Source organism: Homo sapiens, chromosome 21 (assembly GCF_000001405.40).
Source record: "Homo sapiens chromosome 21, GRCh38.p14 Primary Assembly".
Lineage (NCBI taxonomy): Eukaryota > Metazoa > Chordata > Mammalia > Primates > Hominidae > Homo > Homo sapiens.
Window position 1 is genome coordinate 26,492,480 of NC_000021.9, and position 23,331 is coordinate 26,515,810.

The 23,331-nt window shown below is 38.4% G+C and overlaps 1 protein-coding gene and 1 long non-coding RNA gene across 7 annotated transcripts in view; one reads left to right on the forward strand and one right to left on the reverse strand.

Moving 5' to 3' along the window:
- The window catches only part of CYYR1-AS1 (CYYR1 antisense RNA 1), a 175,618-nt gene that overhangs the window by 98,845 nt on the left and 53,442 nt on the right, over nucleotides 1-23,331 (forward strand). The window contains exons 2-3 of one of the 2 annotated variants that reach the window (NR_135516.1): nucleotides 11,103-11,223; nucleotides 14,088-14,253. This is a non-coding gene — a long non-coding RNA (CYYR1 antisense RNA 1). The remainder of the gene's footprint in view (nucleotides 1-11,102; nucleotides 11,224-14,087; nucleotides 14,254-23,331) is intronic. The other variant, NR_135515.1, reaches the window with a different exon arrangement.
- Nucleotides 1-23,331, reverse strand: part of CYYR1 (cysteine and tyrosine rich 1) — a 107,071-nt gene that overhangs the window by 26,264 nt on the left and 57,476 nt on the right. The gene's annotated exons all lie outside the window — the stretch shown is intronic.

Consider the following 23,331-nt stretch of genomic DNA (forward strand, 5'->3'; position numbering starts at 1 on the left):
GCAACTTTGTATGGTTGGCATTATTTGAATTCTAGGTTCAAGTTTGCACCTACAGATGTGAGCTAGAATTATAAAGAATGAATGACAGAGACAGATGCCCCCAAATCTCAGTTCCATTTATCTTTCATCTAAACATATAAGTGGTACCACAAAGTCAGAAACGTACCTTTGGGCACGTTTGCAGGAGTGAGGCTACGAAGAGTTCTAGTGGCCATCTGTTCTGGCAGATCATATTTCAAAAAAAAAAATCTCAAGGTCGAAGAGAATAATAAATTATGCAGCATGAAACAATTTTAAATATCTCTAGCCTACCTATGATGTTGGAAATTTAAGGGAGACTAAGACTGGGAAAGACACACGCATATGCATAGGATTAAACGCAAATGGGGAAGTGCAAACTAGGTTCTATGAGATCAGAGAGGACGGCATCTATCATATATGTTAGCATGTGTGAGAGTGTGTGTGAGTAGAGATTGGTTGTGTGAGAGAGAGGTTGTGTGTATATGTGTGTGTGTGAAAGGGTAACTTAGGGAGTTAACCCTTTCTGAATCCTAAAGGGTTGACGGGATTAGAGCAGAAGCACATTTCAGATCAAAAGAACACAGAAATGCCATAGGAATGCAATATATCATGATGTGCTTCAGGGACCATGAAAAGTTGACAGTTGCTGGAATAAAAAACAGAGAGGTAAGGCTGGAGAATAAGCAGAGGTTTGGGTGGGGTCTTCTGGATAAGGAACGTCTTTAATAATACTGTAAAGAACTTGAACTTTTTATTGGAGTTCATGGGAAACAAATGAAATGGTCTAAACATGGATACGTTTAAGGGTAACATGGAGAGTGGATTTGATGGGTACCAGACTGCATCCAGGCATTCTAATTAAAAGACTGTTGTAAATATCTGGACAAAAGATGGTAAAAGACTTAACTTGGCAATGGCAGTGGGACAGGAAAGAAGGTGGGGAGAAAAGAATTCAGGAAAAACATTGAAGGTAAAGTTAGTTGTGTCTTAAAGTTACCAAGTTCAAACTCCTAAAGGACTATTACAACTCTATCCTATTCCAAGTCACCCAAAGCTACTGGACACTCCTAATATTTAAAAGTAACTAAGTCTGGAGGAAGTTTATTCCACTGTGGAATAGCACCCTGAATGTGTGTGAAATTTTAAGGTAAATTTGGTCTACTAGATCTCTTACTGTTCCCAGAGGAGTGACCTCTAGAAAGGGAAGTTTCTGACACCTTGTAGGAAAGAAGGGATGGATCAGGCCCAGAAAGGTATCACAAAGAGTGCAGGAGATAAACTTTGCTTACTGTTGTTGCTTACTGGTCTGACTTTAACCACCTTTGTTTTCCAAAGATGAACATGTTTATAAAATGCATATCTACTCTTTAATACTGCATTACATAAACTTTCAGCATAATGAGCATGCATAGATAGGAAGTTTGCTTTACTTGTATTATCAATGGACTCTTAACTGTCCTTCTCTGAAACTAATGTTCTTAAACTTCTGTTAAACATAAATTAAAAATAATAATCTTTTAGTTATTCTTAGATTGCTTCCTGCAGTCTGATCTTTCCATCCAGGTCTTTGTGCAGTTGGAATCTAATTGGATCAGACAATGCCCGAGGTTCCCTCCAGCTCCCTAGTACCACAACTAATTAGCAGAAATTCTACTTTAATAATACAGTTGCTGCAGGTCAAGAAAGAAAAGCAAAGCAGAAATGGAAATCTCAGCTTAATGAACATTGAAAAAAGATTAGAAGTGAGTTAAATTTCGGTGTGATAATTAATTACAGTCCAACAAGAACAAAATTCTATGAATATTGACTAGCTGTAATTAACCTATATTTATTCACACAATTATCTCCCCCAACATCACCTCCATTTCTGAGGGGGGAGAAAGAGAATATCTTCTTTCAAGAATTCTTATGTATTGTCAAGATAAGCAACAATCTCAAGTCTGTGGAGATGTAATAATTATCAAGGTAATATTAAATATATAAGTAATTATAACTGCATGTACTCATTCATATTATCTAGCTAAATTTTAATTACTTGTTTCTAATTTGGAAAGATATACTTTTGTCTCAAAGACCTTGGCAAAAGATGGCTACACCAAGACGCAGTAGTTGGTGTGGAAGATATCTTCTGTGATTTTTTTTTTCCCCTTAAAAGAGTAACAGTTTCAGAATATTCTATGCTTGTATACACAAACTGGGACATCACATTGTGCCCCATAAATATATGTAATTACTATTTGTCAATTTTAAAAGGAGAAGAAAAGATTTAAAAATCAGATGTATTTTTAGAAGCAGTTACTATAATGTGTTTGAATGTTTAAACTGTATTCTTTGAAATTCCCATAGACCAGGGTGCTACTTACTCTTGTAAGAGTAACGTGTTACAGGGAACTTACCAGAGAGAAGATTTATGCCAGGGTTGAGCCATCGGAGTGATGGTTCTTACACCACAACTTTGTTTCTTTTCTATGTCCCAGAAGTCAGAGAAACTGAATTCTGTTTCATGTACCAGGACAGGCAAAAGGAAAGAGGAACAACCTGAGAAATGACTGTTTTTCTACCAGAGGAGCAGAAAGTTAGTCAGTATAAGCTGTGTAGACTGGGAGAATTAGGCAACCTGCAGTTATTCACATAACTTATGTTGCCTATGTGGACAGGCGGAATAAGGAGAATTACAGTCTGGGTTATCACTTCAGATAGAGATTCTTCTGATCACGTTAATGCAGATTGGGCAGAGAGCGGTAGATCTAACAGCAACAGGAATTAAAGGGGTAGTAATCTTTGGGTCCACAGATCCATCTAAATCAAGTGAGTGCTAGCAGCAAGCTTGCAACAGTTAGGGCTTGCCAAATATCTGCGCTAGGCTCTACATTTCCCAGCTTCCCACGCGTCTCAGAAGGGCCATGTGACTAACTTTTCCCAACAGACTTAAAGAAAGTGATGTTTACTTCCTGTCACTTCAGTAAAGTCACGTTTACTTCCTGTCACCTCCAACTGCATTGGAGGGTTGTCTAATTGGGCATTATGTGATCCAATTAGACTCCAACTGCACAAAGACCTGTTTCCACTTCACCCCTTGTGCTCCTGGAGCAGATCTGCGTGACTGGGAGCAAAGGATCCTGGGAGGGCCAGCCCACAATATGGAAGGAGGCGGAGTCACACAGCCGTGACTTGAGAGAGAGCCACACGGGTGAACTGTTGACGTGATCAAGAAATGAAAGTGTATTTGGCTAAGCCACAGAGATTTCAGGGTTTATTTGTTTCAGCAGCATAATCAACTTCACGATTAAAAGAAGAGGATATGGATTCCAGAATCTTATTAAAATGGGATATCAAAGGGGTTTAAACTCAGGAAACAAAATGGAAGCACTACTGTGGTGAATCCCTGGAAATACCACGTTAGTAGGCAGATGAAACTTCCAAGGACTTGGGCGTGGCTGTTAGGCTTCCCCAGTTATTTAGCTGAATGTGCAGAGCAGGGCACCGGATTTGGTAAAGAATTTGAGGGCCAAACCCATTTTGTCTTGGAGTGAAGGCTGTGGTCCTCAACTCTGGCTTCAAGTTAGGTTTCAATTAAATCACAAAAATGCTGATGTTTGGGCCTTAAGTCAAATCGGTTAAATCAGAATCTCTGGAGATGAGATCAAGATATTGTTATATTTTTAAAGTTACCCTAGTAGTGCTAATACGTAGCTAGATTGGGAATCCCTGAGTTGATGTAACTAGAGGCAAATATTTTCACAAAGGGGTCTGAAGCTGCTTAAGAGCTTTGTCTCAATAGAAATTGGGTTAGGAAGCCTAGGACAGAGTCCAAAGGAAAGAAATATCAGCTAGATTCAGATATGTGGAACTGGAAAAGAAGAATATTTTAGCATCAATCTCTCAAGAAAAAAAGAGGTAATGACTTAAAGTACTTCCATCAACAGAGATTATATGAAAGAAATGCTGTTAATGAATATTGCTATTATTTTTTTCTCAGTCTACAAAATGCATTTAAAATATAGGAAGAAATCATGGATGTACAAAATGAATATTTAACATAGAATCATTTTTTTCTGGTAAATATACAAAACTAGTAAACCTTAACAAGATGTTACAGAAATAGAGACACTGAACAATTGCTGGCAATCTTTTTTGTTTATATATAGCCATTGAAGGATATGTTTGATTATATGAAAATAGACAGGTCAGTGCATCCCAAATGGGGAGAATACTCTAGCAAGCTAGAAATTTCCAAATTTGTGTAGACCCGGATAAATAGAATATTTATTGATATTTATCCAATACTTATAGAATATTTATGCAATACCCTATTGCTGATCTAACCCACGTTCAGCAAGGAAGATCAGTTTCCCACCAGATGTGAGTGAATCTTAATGGAAAGGTATACATTAATTTCATTTAGTCATTTATAACTTTTATTCAAAAATTTTCTTTGTTTTTGGACCATTAACATCTAGTAGGATGACCAACTTGAAAATATCTTCTGGTAATGAAAGATATTTATTGAACAGTAACTTATTATTTAGTTTTAACAATTTAAAAAGGTTACCAAACAACACACAACTTTGCTATACCAAGTTGCACTTGTGCCAAAGTTTTAAAATTTTCTTTACTTGGAATCAGAGTCAACTTTCTTAGTAACTTTGGTCCTTAAAACATCCTCATATTTGGTCAGATTTAATTCGATAAGGGGCCCTTTCCTACTAATGTACGCTCAGCAGGAAATCCAGATCCTAAAAATTCCAGGGAACAACATCAATAACTTATTTTATAGAAATAGTTTTGGATTATGCCAATCAATTCACCAGTCCATGATTTCAAAGATCGTTTCATCAATCTTGTATCATTCATGTAATAGAACATAAAATAAGCCCTTTAACAAGAATTTGGATTTCATTCTATAAGAAAGACAAGGTCATTTTTAAAAAGCAAATCAGCTAGCAAGAGTGCTATGAGAAGAATGCCTACAAAGAAAAATGGTTATACAGCCTTCAGCCCTATTCCATAAATCTTGACTTATATTTTTCCCTTCTGCTTCTAGGAGATAGTTTGCTTCTTATATGATTCCCTAAGGGAAGTTCCAGTAGCACATGGGGCTAAGAAATATAATTTGCTCTTTTACTATTTGAAATTCAAGTTATTAAACTACCATGGACTAGTGAAGTATGACCCATATCCATATGACCCACCTTAGAAGGAGTCATACACACTGCCTCGTACAATGATATCCTAATAATGTAAAACTAATAATTAATTTTTGGGGGACCAATCAATTTAGAATCAAAGCCCCTCTGTTATGTTGCAAAATACCTACAGAATGCACATTCTTTTCTACATTGAAAGACAGGTGACCACTTCCCTTCAGCAGACTCTTATTGTAAGATCAATATGTGTAAATATTGATCTTATGCCCTCTATTGAATTAAAGTTTGAACTGTATGTCTTATTCAGGTGACATATGTCATTTGTATCATATGTTTTTATTTGGTTTGAAATTTCAAGAAGCTAAATTTGATGTCAGCTTTCCAAGATTTCTACCTTTTACATTTGCTAAGTTCTTGAAAAAGAGTGAGGAACACATCTCTTCATATATTCACTTACTACAGATGAAGTACCTAGTCAGTATTTTTCTAGGAGCTGTGGATACAACAATGATCTAGAAGGTGTCATATTTGGCCTCTCTCAGGGAGAAAGACAGACAACAAAAATAACATCTTATTTGAAGGCCCTATAGCCATTTTTCTTTGTTGGCATTCTTCTCATAGCATTCTTGCTAGCTGATTTGCTTTTTAAAAATGACCTTGTCTTTCTTATAGGATCACGTCCAAATTGTAAAGATGTTAAGGAAGAAGTAATTAAAATGAGATTTGAAAGATCAGTTAGTCAAGGAAGAAGAGAAAAGAGTATTCAAGGAGAGGAAACAACCAGTAGGAAGGCAAAAGAGCACAGGCCTGTTTTAAGAGAGAAAAGTTCAATACAGCAAGTCTGTATTCAGTTTTGATGGTAGGAGGGTGTTTGACTAATGGTTGTGAATGTGCTTGGAGAATTAAGTCTAGCTTGTGAAGGGCCTTATGAGCCATGCTAACATGAAAACTGGAACATAACAATAACAGTGGCAAGAGTAGAGCTGTTGTATTAGTCTATTCTCATGTTACTATATGGACATATCCAAGACTGGGTAATTTATAAAGCAAAGGGGTTTAATTGACTCACACTTCCGCATGACTGGGGAGGCCTCAGGAAACTTACAATCATGGGGAAGGGGAAGCAAACACGTTCTTCTTCACATGGCGGCAGGAGACAGAAGTGCTGAGCAAAGGGGGAAAAGCCCCTTATAGAACCCTCAGATCTCATGAGAATTCACTCATTACCACGAGAACGGCATGCGAGTAACTGCCCCCAAAATTTAATTACCTCCCACTGGGTCCCTCCCACAACACATGGGGATTATGGGAACTACAATTCAAGATGAGATTTGGTTGAGGACACAGCCAAACCATATCAGCTGTGTTTCAAAATGATATTCGTAGAATGAAAAATAGATAATAAAAGTCGAGAATGGAAACAGGGACACTAATTGGGAGGCTGCTATGGTAACTGATGTGAGGAAAGGAATGGTCTCCAAAAAGATATGTCCATGTTCTAATTCCCTGAACCATATTTGGAAAGGGTCTTTGCAGGTGTAATTACATTGAGGGTCTTGAGGTGTAGGGTTCATACTGGATTACCTGGGTCAGCCCTAAATACAACGATGAGTATTTTTATAAGGGACACACAGGGGCGATGTGACAGACAGAAAAAGAGAAGGCCATGTGACTGTAGAGGCAGAGATTTCAGCATGAGCTGAGGAATGTTGACAGCACCAGAAACTGGGAGAGGTAAGGAAGGTTTTTCCTCTAGGGATTCCAGAGGGAGTATGGCTCTGCTGACACACTGTTTTCAGACTTCTGGTCCCCAGAACGTCAAGAGAATAAATTTCTGTTGTTTTTAGTTAAAATTTTTTGGTAATTTGTTATGGCAGCCACAGGTAACTAACATAGCAAGGCAAAAGCAAAACACAGGCAGATGAAAAGGAGAAAACCTGGTGCATTTGGGTCACTGTACAAGTCCAGTAGTGCAGGACCTAACAATATCTGTGAGTGAGAAGCTGGAAATGAGGTTGGACAGATAAGCAGGAGGTTATGTTTGTGAAAGGCTGCTGGGTCTGATTGCACATGAAATGCCAGAAGATCAGTGAGTGGATCAGACTGGCTGGAAGAGGATTACATTTTTGAGCAGTGGAAAGGAAAACTGGAAAGGGAAAGGGAGGAGCAATGAACAGAACACATTTTTGTTTTTTTTTTTTTTTTCAGAGAAGGGGTCTATGGTAGTGCAGGGAGAGAACTGGAAAGGGCTTGATTGGGGAAATTTATACCCTACCCAAAATAGGGCAATGTCTTAGTTGCCTTGGGCTGCTATGACAAATACCACAGGCTAGGTGATTCAAACAATAGAAATTTATTTCTCATAGTTCTGGAGGCTGGGAAGTCCAAGATCAAGGTGCTGGCAAATTTGGTTCTTGGTGAGGACCTACTTTCTGGCCACCATCTTGCTGTGTCTTCACATTGCAGAGAGAAGAACCTTTGGTGGTTCTTCCTCTTTTTATAAGGATCCTAATCCCATCATGGTGGGGGATCCACCCTCCTAACCTCATCTAAACCTAATTCTCTGTTAAAGGCCCCACCATCCTAATGCCATCATGTTGGGGATATGGGCTGCAATATATAAATTTTATGGTGGCACAAACATTCAGTCCATAACAGGCAAGAAATTAAACTATCCATGCATCAGATGTGGGCCACATAGGAAAGAGGGTCAGCCTGGAGCTCTTCTAGGTCCTGAGAGTACCACCTGGAAGGGCAATGGGCCACAATAGGAGAGTCTGAGTCTTTGTGGAGCGGATGATGGAAGGCCAGGAAGTGGTGCAAGGAGGAAGGGAAAGCAGACACTTGTAGCAGATGCCAGCAAGGCTTCCAGGCCAGCAGGGGAGAGGCTGTGTCTAAGTACTGGAGGCTGCTATTAGAGAGGCCCAGTGGCTTAGGACAGTACTTATCAGGAGCTGAACAAGAACTTTCCTCTTTTTCTCTCTCCCCAACAACAGCTCTCACACTGGTGGGCCTGCACTGGGGGTGGGGAGGACTTCTGGGTGGGAAATGAGTGGGAAGACAGAGCAATTGGCCACACCCCTCTCCCCAAGGGCAGGTGACCCACTGACTGCTGGCCTCAGCTGGAAGATGGGGATAAGCCTTGCATGAAGTCTAAGATGTTTACTGACATCTTAGATTAGACATTTAAAATTTCTGAATTAGAGTGTTTTGAGACATAGAAGACTTGAGGACTCAGCCATCAGAGTAGAAAGTTTCCTATAAAACAGTAGTGGGACAGAGTTGTGTTTTGCTTATCTATTAAGCATCATACTTGTACCATGTACCATTTAGATTTTCAAAGAAAAGGATGGACATTTCATCCAGGAAATCCTAGTGAGTGACTTATTTCCTTAGAATAAAATCAGTAAGGCCGGGCGCAGTGACTTACGCCTGTAATCCCAGCACTTTGGGAGGCCAAGGCAGGCAGATCATGAAGTCAGGAGATCGAGACCATCCTGGCCAACATGGTGAAACCCCATCTCTACTAAAAATACAAAAATTAGCTGGGCGTGGTGGCACATGCCTGCAATCCTAGCTACTCGGGAGGCTGAAGCAGGAGAATCGCTTGAACCGGGAGTTGGAGGTTGCAGTGAGCCGAGATTGCACCACTGCACTCCAGCCTGGTGACAGAGTGAGACTTCGTCTAAATAAATAAACAAATAAAATCAGCAAGATGGAAAAGGCCTGTTCTGAATAGATGCTTCCCTATTTCTCTAGTGCTAAATTTAAGATAGACAAATCATGTTGTGCAATGTATTTGGTTAATGTTATCACTTCTAATTCTTACAGGTTTTATACAGAAATTTCTAAAGCATCACATTCACATTCCATTTGTTTTCCCTAGCCAAGAGAGGTCTGTAACATGGTAAACACAAAAGACTCAGAACTGAAAACTGGAATTGAAAAGACTTTTCTATTCTGTTCACAAGGACCTTCTTTTCCCCCTTGGTTCACCACTTAATCTTTTGGTCTCTTTTTCTTCATCTGTACAGTGGAGATAATGGGTCCCAATTTCATTTTATGTTATCTCGATGGAAGGATTCCCACAGTTAGACTGAATGAAAACCTGACAAGTAATACCCACTTATCTACCTCTCTGAAGTGCTGTAAGAATTAATGACAGCCTGCAAAGTGCACTGACGATGAAGAACACGCCATGAGAGAAAGAGAGGTGATGAGTATTATTAAAAGTGTCAAAGGATAAGTATATCTTAATGAATGTGGATAAACACATACACCAAAGGATCTTGGCTTGCTTGCCCTAGTGCCTCAATGCCTTAGGGTAAAAAGAAATATGAATAATATCTGAGTAGAAAAATAAAAGCAGTAAAAAAAATCTCTCCATCCAGGACATTAGTAGTGAAATCATTTTTACATCCTAAAATATTTCATTCTAAATTTTAAAAATAAAGCACTGATTTATGCACCCCAAATCTAATGAAATCAAGCAGTATGTCTTGGAAATTTAGAACAGTCTATGTAGGAAGGCAAAGTACTAAAGACAAAGATGTTCAGAAATTGAGTCAAGCCAAACAGATCAAAGATACTCTGCTCCCCAATGCAAAAGGCATCACGGGCAGAATTTATTTGCTATGTATAGAATTGAGAACTGCTTTTTTTTTTTTTTTTTGATCTTGCAAAGGAGATGAAATGGATATGTGAATGTTGCTTGATTAGGAGGACACTCTGGGAGCGGGCAAAAATGCACAGCAAATTTGACAGGAAGAGTAACTAATAATTACTTTGGTTAGTTACATTTACAAAACAATAAGAGAAGAATAAGTCACTTATGAAGTTAAATAAATTTAAAGAAAATTAGGGTAGTTGTTTCCTTCCTGTACACAAATTATTTCAGGCTATGAACTCTCCAGCAAGTAAATAAAAAATTATTTTGGCTTTTACAATTTATCTTGGTCTTGATGCACACAAGGGCAAGATATGACAGTGTCTATTTCTTCTAGAGGACTCCGATTTGTTGTATATATAAGCAGGTGTCCTCATAAGTCTCATTATATACTATGTTTACCTCCACATATATTTTCTGTTTCCTATTGTTTGTTTCTATGTTGTAATATGCCAGTGAGCTATAGGTAATGTTGGAGAAGAGATTTTTTAAAAAATCTCTTATCTTTCATACCATATGTGAAACAGGTGGTAGTCTGCTCTCATAGATGAATATTTCTGTGATGAATTTTTTCTTTTTATTTCTTATTTACATAAGCTAATTTATTTTTGCCAAAGTGTTTACATTCTGCCCTATAGATGTGGTCTGAGTGTATTTGCTGTAGTCAAAAGTCTCTGTTTTATACTTGATTTTGGAGTTAGGTGGGACAAGGAAAATGCAAGTAGATGGAACTCATGGTGGCCTTAATGTTATCATTTCTTTTTTAAACAGGGCTCAATTTTAGAGCTGTGCTGTAGTCCACAAAACAATCAGTCTCTATGACAATAATTCTAATTTTGGTAGAATAATTTTAACACCACTAAAAGCACTTGGAGAGACTTCATTTATGTAGGACATTAGTGAGATAATTTGGAACCTGTTCCTGAGTGCGGGACATACTTGCAAATATTTAAATGCTGACTTCTTTAGTCACTTGTTTCACTTTTTAAAAAAAGAAAATAGTAATTTGAGGTATATGATCAAAATTAAATAAAAACTCTACTTAAACAGTATATTACTGAGTATTATATTTTCTTGGTAAAAAATTAAAGTATTGTGAAACAAATATTGAATAAATAACTAAAAATCCCATATTTAATAAATTAATTATAGAGCGAAAATTTTCCTTTGAAATCCTCTCTTCAACACACTATAATATTCGTATGTGTGTGAAATTCTTCCCTATTCCAAATTTACCATCTCATTTCTGTTCACTTTTGTGTCCACAGAGTATCTGCCTGGAAACCCTGTTGCCTGGAGACCACTCTTGAAGAACATCCACTGCTGTGGCCTCTTAAAGATTTAAGACATCTAATGAACAGCTGACAGAAATCATCAATTTGCTCCTCAGTAAGTAATATTTTTAAGTCACAATAAAACACTTATCTGGATATTATTTATTCAGATAATCATAACAGCTCAAGTATAGGATGCAAAGGGGAAAAATACCTTTGAAAAATTTGAATTGTACAAATCCATACAAAAGAGAGATGGGACAAAAAATAAAATCTGCATTTTCTTCATGGAAGACGCTGTCGAGTCCTCCTATTAATTATTTATTCAGATTTTAAAAACTATTCAAAAAGGCTTTACGTATATTTTGAACTCTATTATGTATTATCGTTCTCTGTGGCCCAAAGGAATTTTGAAGCAGAAATTCAATAAATGGCATAAGGATACTGGAATAGTGGATGAGAGGAGACATGATGCAGCCAAAAGAATTCCATCTCAACTTGAGGCATTCTGGAGAGGGTTCAAGAATCCAGCATATCTTAACAGTGTCCAAGTATCTCACGATATGATGGCAGAATTTGTCACCAGTAACAGACACCAAGTACAAATTATTATTATTTTATTTTACTCTTTGTGATGTATTTATTTATTTATTTATTTATTTTTGAATCAGAGTCTTGCCTTGTCACATTTATTTATTTTTGAGACAGAGTCTTGCCCTGTCACCCAGGCTGGAGCGCAGTGGTGCCATCTTGGCTCACTGCAACCTCTGCCTCCCGGGTTCAAGCGATTCTCCTGCCTCAGCCTCCTGAGTAGCTGGGATTACAGGCGCGTACCACCACGCCTGGCTAATTTTTTGTATCTTTAGTAGAGATGGGGTTTAACCATATTGGCTAGGCTGTAATTTTTATTATTTTAAAAAATTATTTAAAAATTTTTTGTGAGTACATAGTAGGTGTATATATTTATGGAGTACATGAGGTGTTTTGATACACGCATGCAATGTGAAATAAGTACATCATGAAGAATGAAGTATCCATCCCCTCAAGCATTTATCCTTTCAGTTACAAATAATCCAATTACATTCTTTAAGTTATTTTAAAATGTACAATTAAGTTATTATTGACTATAGTCACCGTATTGTGCTATCAAATAGTAGGTCTTATTCATTCTTTCTATTGTTTTGTACCCTTTAACCATCCTCACCTCCATCCGATTCCCTGACTACCCTTCCCAGCCTCTGGTAACCACCCTTCTACTCCCTATGTCCGTGAGTTGAATTGATTTGATTTTTAGATCCCACAAAAAGTGAGAACATGCAATGTTTGTCTTTCTGTGCCTGGCTTATTTCACTGAACATAATGATCTCCAGTTCCATCCATGTCCCCGAATACAAATTAATACATGGTAGAATCTGTGCTCTGTTTAAGAAGTTAGGAACATATTCAGGCTATATTTTGCATTTTTGAAAGATGGTTAAAATATTTTAAAAATGTTTATGCTGAAAGGAAAAAGTTCTGTGAACTAGAAAATTTACATGAATTAAAACATAGCTCAGAGATGAAATCTGAAAGAAAACATGGCCCCTCTTTGCTAAACTTCATAGTTTTGATGCTGTTAATTACACTTTGTTTTCCATATGATGCCTCATGGTGACCAAAGTAAGGTAAATTATTTTGAATTAATATTCCCTCCAAAAATTGTTATCCCCAAGCATGTAAAAAGTAAAAAGCAATAAAAGCCCAAGTTGCAAAGAAAGATGTGCTTCTATAAGAGCATTTGGAGGCTGCCGGAAGATGGTGCATTCCAGAGAGCTTAAGACTGAGCTTTGATAACAGACAGACCCAAATTTCTGCCACATTTCACAGTGTGACTGTGCATTGGCTGCTCAACCTTGCTAAGCTTTAATATTTTTGTGTAAGAAAAATATATGTATTTATTGTACCTAAAGGTTGTTAAGAGAATTAAATGAGTGTGTGTACATAACCAGAGTGCCTGGAACATTAAATGCTTAATGCACATTAGCTATTACCCTTATCATTATTATCAAGTTAAATTAAGCCAATATAATCATAAAGTTGGAAGCTGAGTTTATGAGGGCAGTGGCAAAGCCACCTAGCTAATCATGAGCTGCTGTTTAACAAAATGAAAGGAAGTTATTGTTTACATAACACCATACAAAGAGGACATTTTGGAGAAACTAGGTTAATACATATTTTAAAAAAAAAGGTTTTTAATGCTTTTCGTAAGCGCGAGAGAAGAAATTGAGATAACGTTGCATTAAGGAACTATTTAGTCTTGGGAGATACATAAAATCAAAGTACTGCCCCACTTTGACCCTTTCTCTGCTTTGTTAATCCTTTATTGAGATATAATTCACAGCAGTACAATATATACATATTAAATATGCTGCATGATGAATTTTATGCTTTTATGTATATGCCCATGGAACCATGACCACACCAACATATAGCATGCATCCGTCATCTCAATAGGCCCATTGTGCCCATTACAGTCAATCGACCACCCATTTCCCAAAGGTTCAGATGATAGGAAGGTTCAGATTTCCCTCTCCATCTAGAAAAGGGGCCCTTGGGAAATTTGAAGTCCTCTTTCTTTTCCCTAGCTAGACTTTAATTCTCACCCATTAATTTTACTTTAATTCTAGGTCACCACGCCTCTAGCCTACAGTCATGCTCCCATCGAAATGCCCCTGCTTAATTTATCTGCATTGTGACGTTCTTCTGACATTGAGGGGGCTTTCTCTTAGCTATAATGTCAATGAGGTTTCACTGCACTTTTGGATTCACGAATCCCATAAATACTGTTATTTTTGACTGTCATTGTATTGTGTTTTACAAGGCATCCTGGGCCAAGGCTGAGTAAGGAGACAGAGGAGCTTTAAGGAGACATGGAGGTGAACTCTAGGGGCAGCTACACTCTCAAACTCAACTTTCCTGAAGAAGGTTTTCTGGTTCTAGTTTCAGTGTCAAATCATGATGCAACAGCAGAGTGAACTCAGTGTTTTTGGTATGAAGATCTCCATGTGTTTCCATCATCAGCATCTCCTGTGCTCTTAATCTTACCCTGGACACCTGACCCAGGTGCCCATTCTGTGAATTCTTTCATTGTAGGAAAGAGAAACAGGTACAAAAGATGCATGGTCCTCCCATGGCTAAGGTTCCTAGCCAATCTAGGTGGGTGCCCACTTGCTAAAATGACCCTGACCCCTCATTTGGTCACTTGACCACTGGTAACTCTACAAGCAAAGAAGCCCTTAGTGACCAGAAACACAGGATCCTGGGTTTAAAAAGCTGATCACAGAGAAAGTAGAAAAATCCATAATATCATCCTTTTCACAGCAGTACTTATAAGCTTTGAGTTTGTATTTTTCCACTCACTGCATGAAAATACCAATAGTGTAATAATGCAACTTCAAAAAAATCAAAGAGTAGCTGTGAAAGCCCTCAGCCCACAGGTTGCTGTGATTTGCACTTGAGTATGCTCAAGGGTTCATTTTATTTTCGACTTTAAAATTCACACTCAATTTTGACACATGAGACATATGTCTCAGCTCCTTACAGTACCAATCCTGTAAAAACAGATGACTCAGCCACCAGTTACAACAGCATATTATTGCAGTATTCAACAAAACATGCCTTATGCTGACTAGAGAGAGGTTTCAAGTTGATGAGGCAAAAACAGCAATGTCCCATCTCAGAACATATGCTATACTATAGTAAGGAAAAAAGAGCCAAATATAAACACTAAACAATGTTGCATTGCTGAAATGTAATCCCTTTAAAACATTAGATGTCTTTACATTTCTCATTATTCTATTATTAATTTTAGAATATGTTCTCTTTAATGCAATCTATCTTTACACAAATTTAAAAATTCAGATTTCTAGAAGAACCAACAAACCAGGGGCTGATTTTTCTCAATGGATTTCTCCTTTATACTCATAGCATCTGATGAGGTCAGCATTAAGAAGCAAGGCAATTATTTAATAGCAATGGCTGTGAGCCAAAGAAGAATTACAAAGATAAATCAATCTGGGGTGATAAAATGCCAAAAAACAGGCAGCCACCTCAAGTAAGAACAAGTTCGATATTAAAATACTGTTTTATTTTCAAGTTACCCAACAAACTGCTGAAAGAAATTACATTTTCCCTCATGAAGGAAATGACAATAAATGCCATTTTCTACCCATTGGGCATCACAGGATGGGTGTTGAGATACAGATATGACATCCTCCCAATTATGGTAATACTGGGCATTGGAGCCAGAATGGTATTTAGAGGTATTAATTCATTCAACACATATGAACACCTATTATGTATGTGCCTTTGTTTTGGGGATGTGACATACAGAGAGTTTTCTTGTGGAGATGACAGATGTAAGCTCATAGTCACCTTTGAAATAAAGTTACCTATGAGGGATCCTGAAGGTGAGATCAAGGAAGACTATAAATGAGACAATGTATAAACAGAGGCTGAAAGCAAGAGAAAGTTGCCAGTTAGAGAAGGCAAGAAAATATCCCATGAGAGGGCATGGCATTTGCAGTCACAGATGTGTGAAATAGCTTAGGATGCTTGGAAAACAACAAGCGGCTTTGTGTGGCTGCAGCAAATGTTGCAATCCATAAGCAGCAAGAGTTGCTCCTAAAAATGCAGGCAGGAACTGGATCATGAGGGGTCTTTAGGCCCAAAGAGTTTAGCACATTCTTGCAGAAAGGAGAGTGACACAACCAGAAGGCCAGAGAGACCCGTGGGGTTTGTTCTAGCAATTCACATGAAAGGGAATAAGGACTAGATTTGAGGTTGGGTTGGATTGTGGGAAAGCTGAATTTGAGGGGGTAGGTAAAAGAAAAAACTTTTAGAAATGGTTACCAATCTTTGCGGTTTCTGACTTAAGCTATTGTGGTAATGGGGGCTTTCTGAATGGAGTAAAGGAATACAGTGGGCACAAATTCTGGAATAGGTAGTTAGGAATGAAGAATGATTTTACTTTTTGGAGATGCTGTCGTTTGGGTACTGAGGTGGAAATGACAAAGTAAATAGTTTGTAAGATCAATGCATTCATTCTATCATCACTTAGGACACTCCAAGTGATGGTTTCATATGCTATGGAATTATATCCAACTATTTTTGATGATTTACTATGGAGATTCTGGAGAATAAAGATCCTTGCAAGGATCTATTTGATAACTTTATGGCAAGTGTTTCAAATCAGAGGATTGCAGCTTAAGGTATTAGGAAACTTAGATAGAAGCTTGATTATCATCAGTATAATGTGCATTGTGAACTAAGACCACGAGCATTGGTTTAGTGAGGATTAGCCCATGCCTCAAAATAACACATGATCGAATACACATTATATTGCAACACTCTCCATTGTAAATAACTGTTCAATGCCATAAATCTGCTTTTAGAAAACAGTCCTCTAAAAATAGAAATCAAACCATATTGCTACACTGCATCACACTCAAAGGCTTCTCATTTCACTCAGAGTAAAAGGCAAAGTCCTTACAATAGCCTACAAACCCCTCCATGATATGCCTTGTTCTCCTTGTCTCTCTAACCTCATTGCTCTTTACACTCCTCCCTCTCAGTCACTGTATTCAGCTATACTGACCTCTTTGCTGCTCCTAAAACATCAAATGCTCGACAATTCCCTTTTTCCTAGAATGTATTTCTTGCAGATATCTGTATGCTGTTAAGTCATTGGTCAAATGTTACATTTTACGTGAGTTCTTTCTTGACCACTGAGTTAAAATTGTGGCACCTAAGCCTTAATAACTTCCTATCCCTTTTTACTATTTTATTTTCTCCATAGAACCAAAGACCAGTTTTTGTACTTCCTTTAACATCTTAACTGGAGATGATATATTAGGAGATAATAATGGTATAATGCTGATAGCAGCTGTAGAAAGGATGTGGATTAGTTTTGTTAGAATAAGCTGAGCTTATGCTGCAGTGACAACTGGCCCTCAGATCTCAGTGGCTTTACTGAAAAAGTTTATTTCTTCCTCAGTCAAAGCCTGCTTAAGTCAGATGACTCTCCAGGGTAGCTCTCCTCTATGCAGTGACTCAGTGATCCAGGATTTTTCATCCTATAGCTCCACCATCTCAATCTATGGCTTCCATGTTTGCTACCGAGGATCTCACGAAGGCTTTTATCCAACTCGTTCCAGAAGTGACACACCTCATTCCTGCTCATAGCCTATTGGTCAGAGCTAGTACCATGATCTCACCCAACTGGGGGTTAAGGCTGACTGGGAAGTATGATGTTCTAAGTGCTCTGGAAGGAGAGGAGACTTGGCTATTGGTGAGCACTCCTCAGGTTTACACAGCAACCAACTCTGGAATGATCTTCTTAAGATGCAGTGTGATGCAATGTAGGGAGCACAGAACAGGATTCAGCAGGGCTGGATGTAAGATCTCATTGAACTAATCACTATTCACATGGCTTCAATTTAGGTATCCGCTCTGGAACTCTATTTTCAAACTCATGAGATCGGGGAAAATACTTATCCTGCTTATATCAGAAAGGTTTGTAAGTCCCAAATATAAAAGTTTGTAAACAGAATTTCCAAATGTAGGCAACCGTTCAAATGCCAGTACATGAATAATGCAGTATGGAGCATAGGAAACCTGCCCAGATAAGATAAAATGAATTACATTCCTATTTTACATCAATATTTATAAAGTTATCTCATTGTTAGAGCCATAGAGAATGCTATCATTTCCAGACCTGCTGGCTTAACAGCTGTGATACCTAGCCAGTGAGGTAGGGAGCTGTTTATGTATCAGCACTGGTTTATTTTGTATGTATGGAGCATGAAGAAAATGCCAAGGAAATTCAGATGTATAACAAACACTTAAGATTACCGAAAGCAAAATTCATTCAACAGTGAATGAATCCAATACTGGCAGCTTGTGTGGTATCTTCTGTTCTGTTGCTGGAGGACATTGGCTATTGTGCAATGTAGTCTATTGTTGCAAGGATTCATGTGTATTTAGCACAAGGTATGATACTGACAAAATATCAGCTATTTGAAAAGTCTCATTAGAATGTATTTAAGGATATATTAAAATCTTTTGATAATATTAGATTTTATAGATTTGAGTACTAAGTACATTTGTTGTCAGACTTCAAAAAGATATTGAATTTATATATAATAATTTTGTTAGTCACTTCAAGTTTGTTGAGGATGGTAAAATATTAGCATTAATAATGATATCCTATTTGTCAGTGTTATCTATTCAAAGAAGTATTATAAATAACAAATCTAAACTTTTAAATACATTTAATACAAAATAGTCAAATATGTGGATTTCTCTATTATTTTACTAGTGATTTGGGTCTTCTGGAATTCCTCAGCAGACTTTTACAACATTAGGGTAGAAGGAATCCAAATTATCTGTTTCAATTCCTTGCCAAATGAACACATTATCCCTATGGGGAACTTCTTGCTAACTGACGTTATTGTAGCATGCCATTTATTATCTGTGAGAAAGTTTACCCTTTGTGTGTATCCATATGTGATAGAGAAGTATTTCACATAGTAAACAGATATTTGCCTCAGTAGACACTTCACCCATTATTTTAGATTGGAGATGTTTCTTGCCACTGGTATCTGTGTTATACACACATACTAAATATTAGTAACATCTTTACAGTTCATTTAAAAATAGTAGATTCAGAGACTAAACTATTAAAGATGATAAACCAGTTAGTACTTGGGTAACCAACACATAAAAACCTAGATGATAATTTTCTAATCGAATCTTGTCATGGAATTTTCCTGCCTAGTCATTGGCTCACATAGTTCTACTGTGATGAACAAAAGAAGATGGATCCAATAAGATCAGACACAAATAGATGCCCATAGTCATATGCTGGAATGCAGACAGCATATCAACAATGAGATAAAGCTTTGTACAACAGAAGTTCACTGAATCGATATTCTGAAACATTCCCAAGTGCTGGCTTTTAAAATGGAGGGTAACAGAAAGCACAATGAATTTTATAAGATGTTTTATATGATGTTGTGATAAAAGAGGAGCAAGTGATTGCAAAGTGAAGGCTTCTTTGTTTTATTTCTTGAAAATTTATACTACTGCCTCCACTCAAGGGTTTGAGTTTCTTCCCCTTTAACCCCAAAGATTATAACCTTGAGAATGATTGCTTTCCTCCTTTTATTCTTTTAAGACACTTCTGCCATTCACTTTTATAAAAGACATCCAGAGAGCTGGTCATGGTGCCAAGTTGATGATACATTGTGTAGACAATTTAGAGGAAAAAGTATAGAAAAATAGGTGTATTCAAATAGAAGGCCTAGTTCAAATGTCACTTTCTACATGGCAGTTCAGAAATATGTCAACAATATCACACATACACACACACACACACACACACACACTCTGCTTGAAGTACGGCAGTACCATCAGAATGGGATTCCCTTTTCACATCTCTTTTTCCTCTCGTCTATTTCTTATACAGACAAAACTGCATCATGCTGGTCTTTAATAAACAGCATCAATGGATTTCCACCATGGTCCATGTGTCTTACAACTTAGGAGTATCGTTCACATTCAGTCCCTCTTTTTTTATTTATTTTTTTTTGAGACAGAGTCTCACTCTGTCACTCAGGCTGGAGTGCAATGGTGCGATCTTGGCTCACTGCAACCTCCGTCTCCAGGGTCCAAGCGATTCTCCTGCCTCGGCCTCCCAAGTAGCTGGGATTACAGGCGCATGCCACCATGCCTGGCTAATTTTTTTTTGTATTTTTAGTAGAAACGGGGTTCCACTATGTTGGCCTGGCTGATCTTGAACCCCTCATCTCAAGTGATCCACCTGCCTTGGCCCCCAAAGTGCTGGGATCACAGCGTGAGCCACCGCGCCCGGCCCACAGAGTCTTTATCAGGTGTCAGCACGCTACATCCTAGGGGCCAGATCTGGTCTGCTGCCTGTTTCTGTATGACCTGTTAGCTAAGAACATTCTGTTTTTACATTCTTAAGTGGCTTAAAAAGTGAGAAGAGTAACATTTTGTGAAATTCAAATTTCAGTGTCTATAAATAAAATTTTATTGGGACACATCCAAATTCATGTGTTTACGCATTGTCTATAACTTTTTCTGAGCTCCAAAGGCAGAGTTGAGTAGTTACAACATAGACCACGTGGCCTGCAAAGCCTAAAATATTTACTATCAGGCTAGATAAAACAGAAAAGGTTGACCAACCCCTAATGCATATGAATGGGACCCCTGGAGTTGGCTGTGCATAACCTGTGTGGCTGTATACTATAGCCCTGGTCTCAAATAGTCATCAAAGTAAGTGCTTTTCTCCTAGCCAAGCGTTTAACATTTTTCACAATCTGGATGCAGACCAGATTCTCTCCAGCTCGCCCACCTACTACATATTCTTCCCTTGTTATCATTTACCTACCTCTGTGTCTTTGTTCACGTTGCTTCCCTGTCCTAGCCATGTCTTTTCATTTATCTGTCTGTTGATATCTATCACTGAAAGCCTAGCTCAAATGTTGCTTTCACCATGGCAGTTCAACAATGTGATTGAAATCTTGCTTCTGTGAATTCACAGGGTGCTTTGTACTTCCCTAACACACTTACCATATTCTGCCTTGTACGATCCTTAGTCTTGCACTCATTTCATATTGCCTACTATCTTATATGATCTTTAAGTCTAAGAACTGGGCTTGCTCATCTTTGTACCTCTAAGAATGCTGCAGACATGGGCAGGCCTGGCACAGATCCCTGGAGGCTGAGACTAGGACTAGGAGCCATGCCAACCCTCAATACACACACAGTCACTTCCTTAGTTGCAGGGTCCAGGGGAAATTCCAGTGGTGTGGCAAAAGATCCAAGTTAGTGCTCCCATAAAGCTGCTGTGGGGAGAGGTGGCTTAGTTCCATAAAAAGCAAGGTTTTTGAAAGACACAAACCCAGGACCCAATCCAGAAGTAGGCAATACTGTGGAGACTAGTCAAACCCTATCAGTGAAGTTCATTAGTAGCAAAAACCTATTGACCAGACCAAGTTCCAGGGCAGCACAGCCAGTAAGAAAAGGGGATAAAGTGGGAGTTGTGGAGTTTAGCAAGGAGAGGACAGAGGCTTGGTCTTAGAAAGATCAGGGCTCTAAAAGGGCGACTGGGGCAAAAGTCCAAAGAGGAAAAAACCATGCATGCTCAGCAAACTATTGCAAGGACAAAAAACCAAACACCGCATGTTCTCACTCATAGGTGGGAATTGAACAATGAGAACACATGGACACAGGAAGGGGACTATCACACACCGGGGACTGTTGTGGGGTGGGGGGAGGGGGGAGGGATACCATTAGGAGATATACCTAATGTAAATGACGAGTTAATGGGTGCAGCACACCAACATGGCACATGTATACATATGTAACAAACCTGCACGTTGTGCACATGTACCCTAAAACTTGAAGTATAATAATAAAAAAAAAAACCATGCCCAAGGTAAGAAAGAAACTACTATAGAGAGGATGACCTGAGCTGAGTCCCAGACGTTGGGTGGGGGCTCCAGAAATTACTCTTGCTTATGTTTAGATGTAATCCTAGGGTCTTCAGAATAGAGAAAGTTATTGCTCTAATTTGGTTTGACCCCCCTCCAAATCTCATGTTGAAATTTGATCCCCAGTGTTGGAAGTGGAGCCTAATGGGAGGTGTTTTGGTTGTGGGGGAAGATGGTTCATGAATGCCTTGGTACTCGTGGTAATGAGTTTTTACTCTGTTAGTTCTCCCAAGACCTGGTTGTCAAAAAGAGCCTCACACCTCCCCTGCTCTTGCTTCCTCTATCACCATGTGATCTCTGTAGATACCAGCTCCCTTCTGCCTTCCACTGTAAATGGAGGCAGTCAGAGGCCCTCATCAGAAGCAGATGCTGCTGTCATGCTTCTTTTATTGCCTGCAGAACCATGAGCCAAATAAACCTATTTTCTTTATAAATTACTCGGCCTCAGCTATTCCTTTAGAGCAACACAAAAGTGGCCCTAGTTTCCTAGTGCAGGGAGACAGTAGACTACAGGAAGAGAAAGAGTGTATAAAAAGGGCCAGAGTCAGAGGGAACTAACTTATTTTGAGCACTAACCATATGTCAGGCCATGTAATAAGGCTTTTATTCACAGTATCTCACTTAATGTGCACAGTAACTCTGCAAGGAAGCAGCATTATGCCCATTTAACAGATGAGAAAATTGAGGCTTAGACTAAGCAATTGACGGACATGAGATCTGAAGGCAGGCCTAAGTGAACCCAAACCAATTCCTTCACATGTTTCCCACCGCTATATCATACTTCTTCAATAAATATTTATTAAGTGAATAATGAAGATAGAAAAATTATAACTGGACATGCTTTTCACGATTCAATGTGGTATGCATGATAGTACTATCTTTTCTCCCCATGTTTTCTCTTGTAAGTTAAAGAGCTTTTGTCTCTTTTATCACTGGTTCAGTGAATTAATAACTCATGCATACTCTGTGTCCTATGTGCCAACAGGCACGTTAAGTAATCTAAGAACATACTAGTTGCCCTAGGGAATTGCTTTGGATCTCTGGCCTTCAATGCCTTCCACAAACTAGTCCAAACTTCCTTTCCAGGCTTATTTTATTTTGTTCAGCCCTCTTAGGCCACTTACTGTTTTCCAGTCAACTCCTGTACACCTTGTCTCCTCCATATTACATGTTACTCTTTCAGTAAAATCCACCCTGATCTCTTTTTCTTTTTCTTTTCTTTTCTTTTTTTTTGGGAGAGAGTCTCACTTTGTCGCCCAAGGCTGGAGTGCAGTTGCACAATCTTGGCTCACTGCAGCCTCAACCACTGGCGTTCAAGTGATCCTCCTGCCTCAGCTCCCCAGGTAGCTGGAAACTATAGTCACATACCATCATGCCCGGCTAATTTTTTGTACTTTTTGTAGAGATGGGGTTTTGTCATGTTGCCCAGGCTGGTCCTGAACTCCTGAGTTCAAGTGATCCACCCATGTCAGCCTCCCTGATGTCTTTATTCAGAACTGCTCTCTTTCTCCCCAACTCATGGAGCATTGATATGGTTCTATGCTTGATCTGAAATAATACTAAAAACTCCAATAACTATACTATAAATCTCCAAAAGAGTTTGCACTTATCCTTTTTCTCCCACAATGCTTATACTGTCATTCACACAAAAGACATGCTTAAAATAT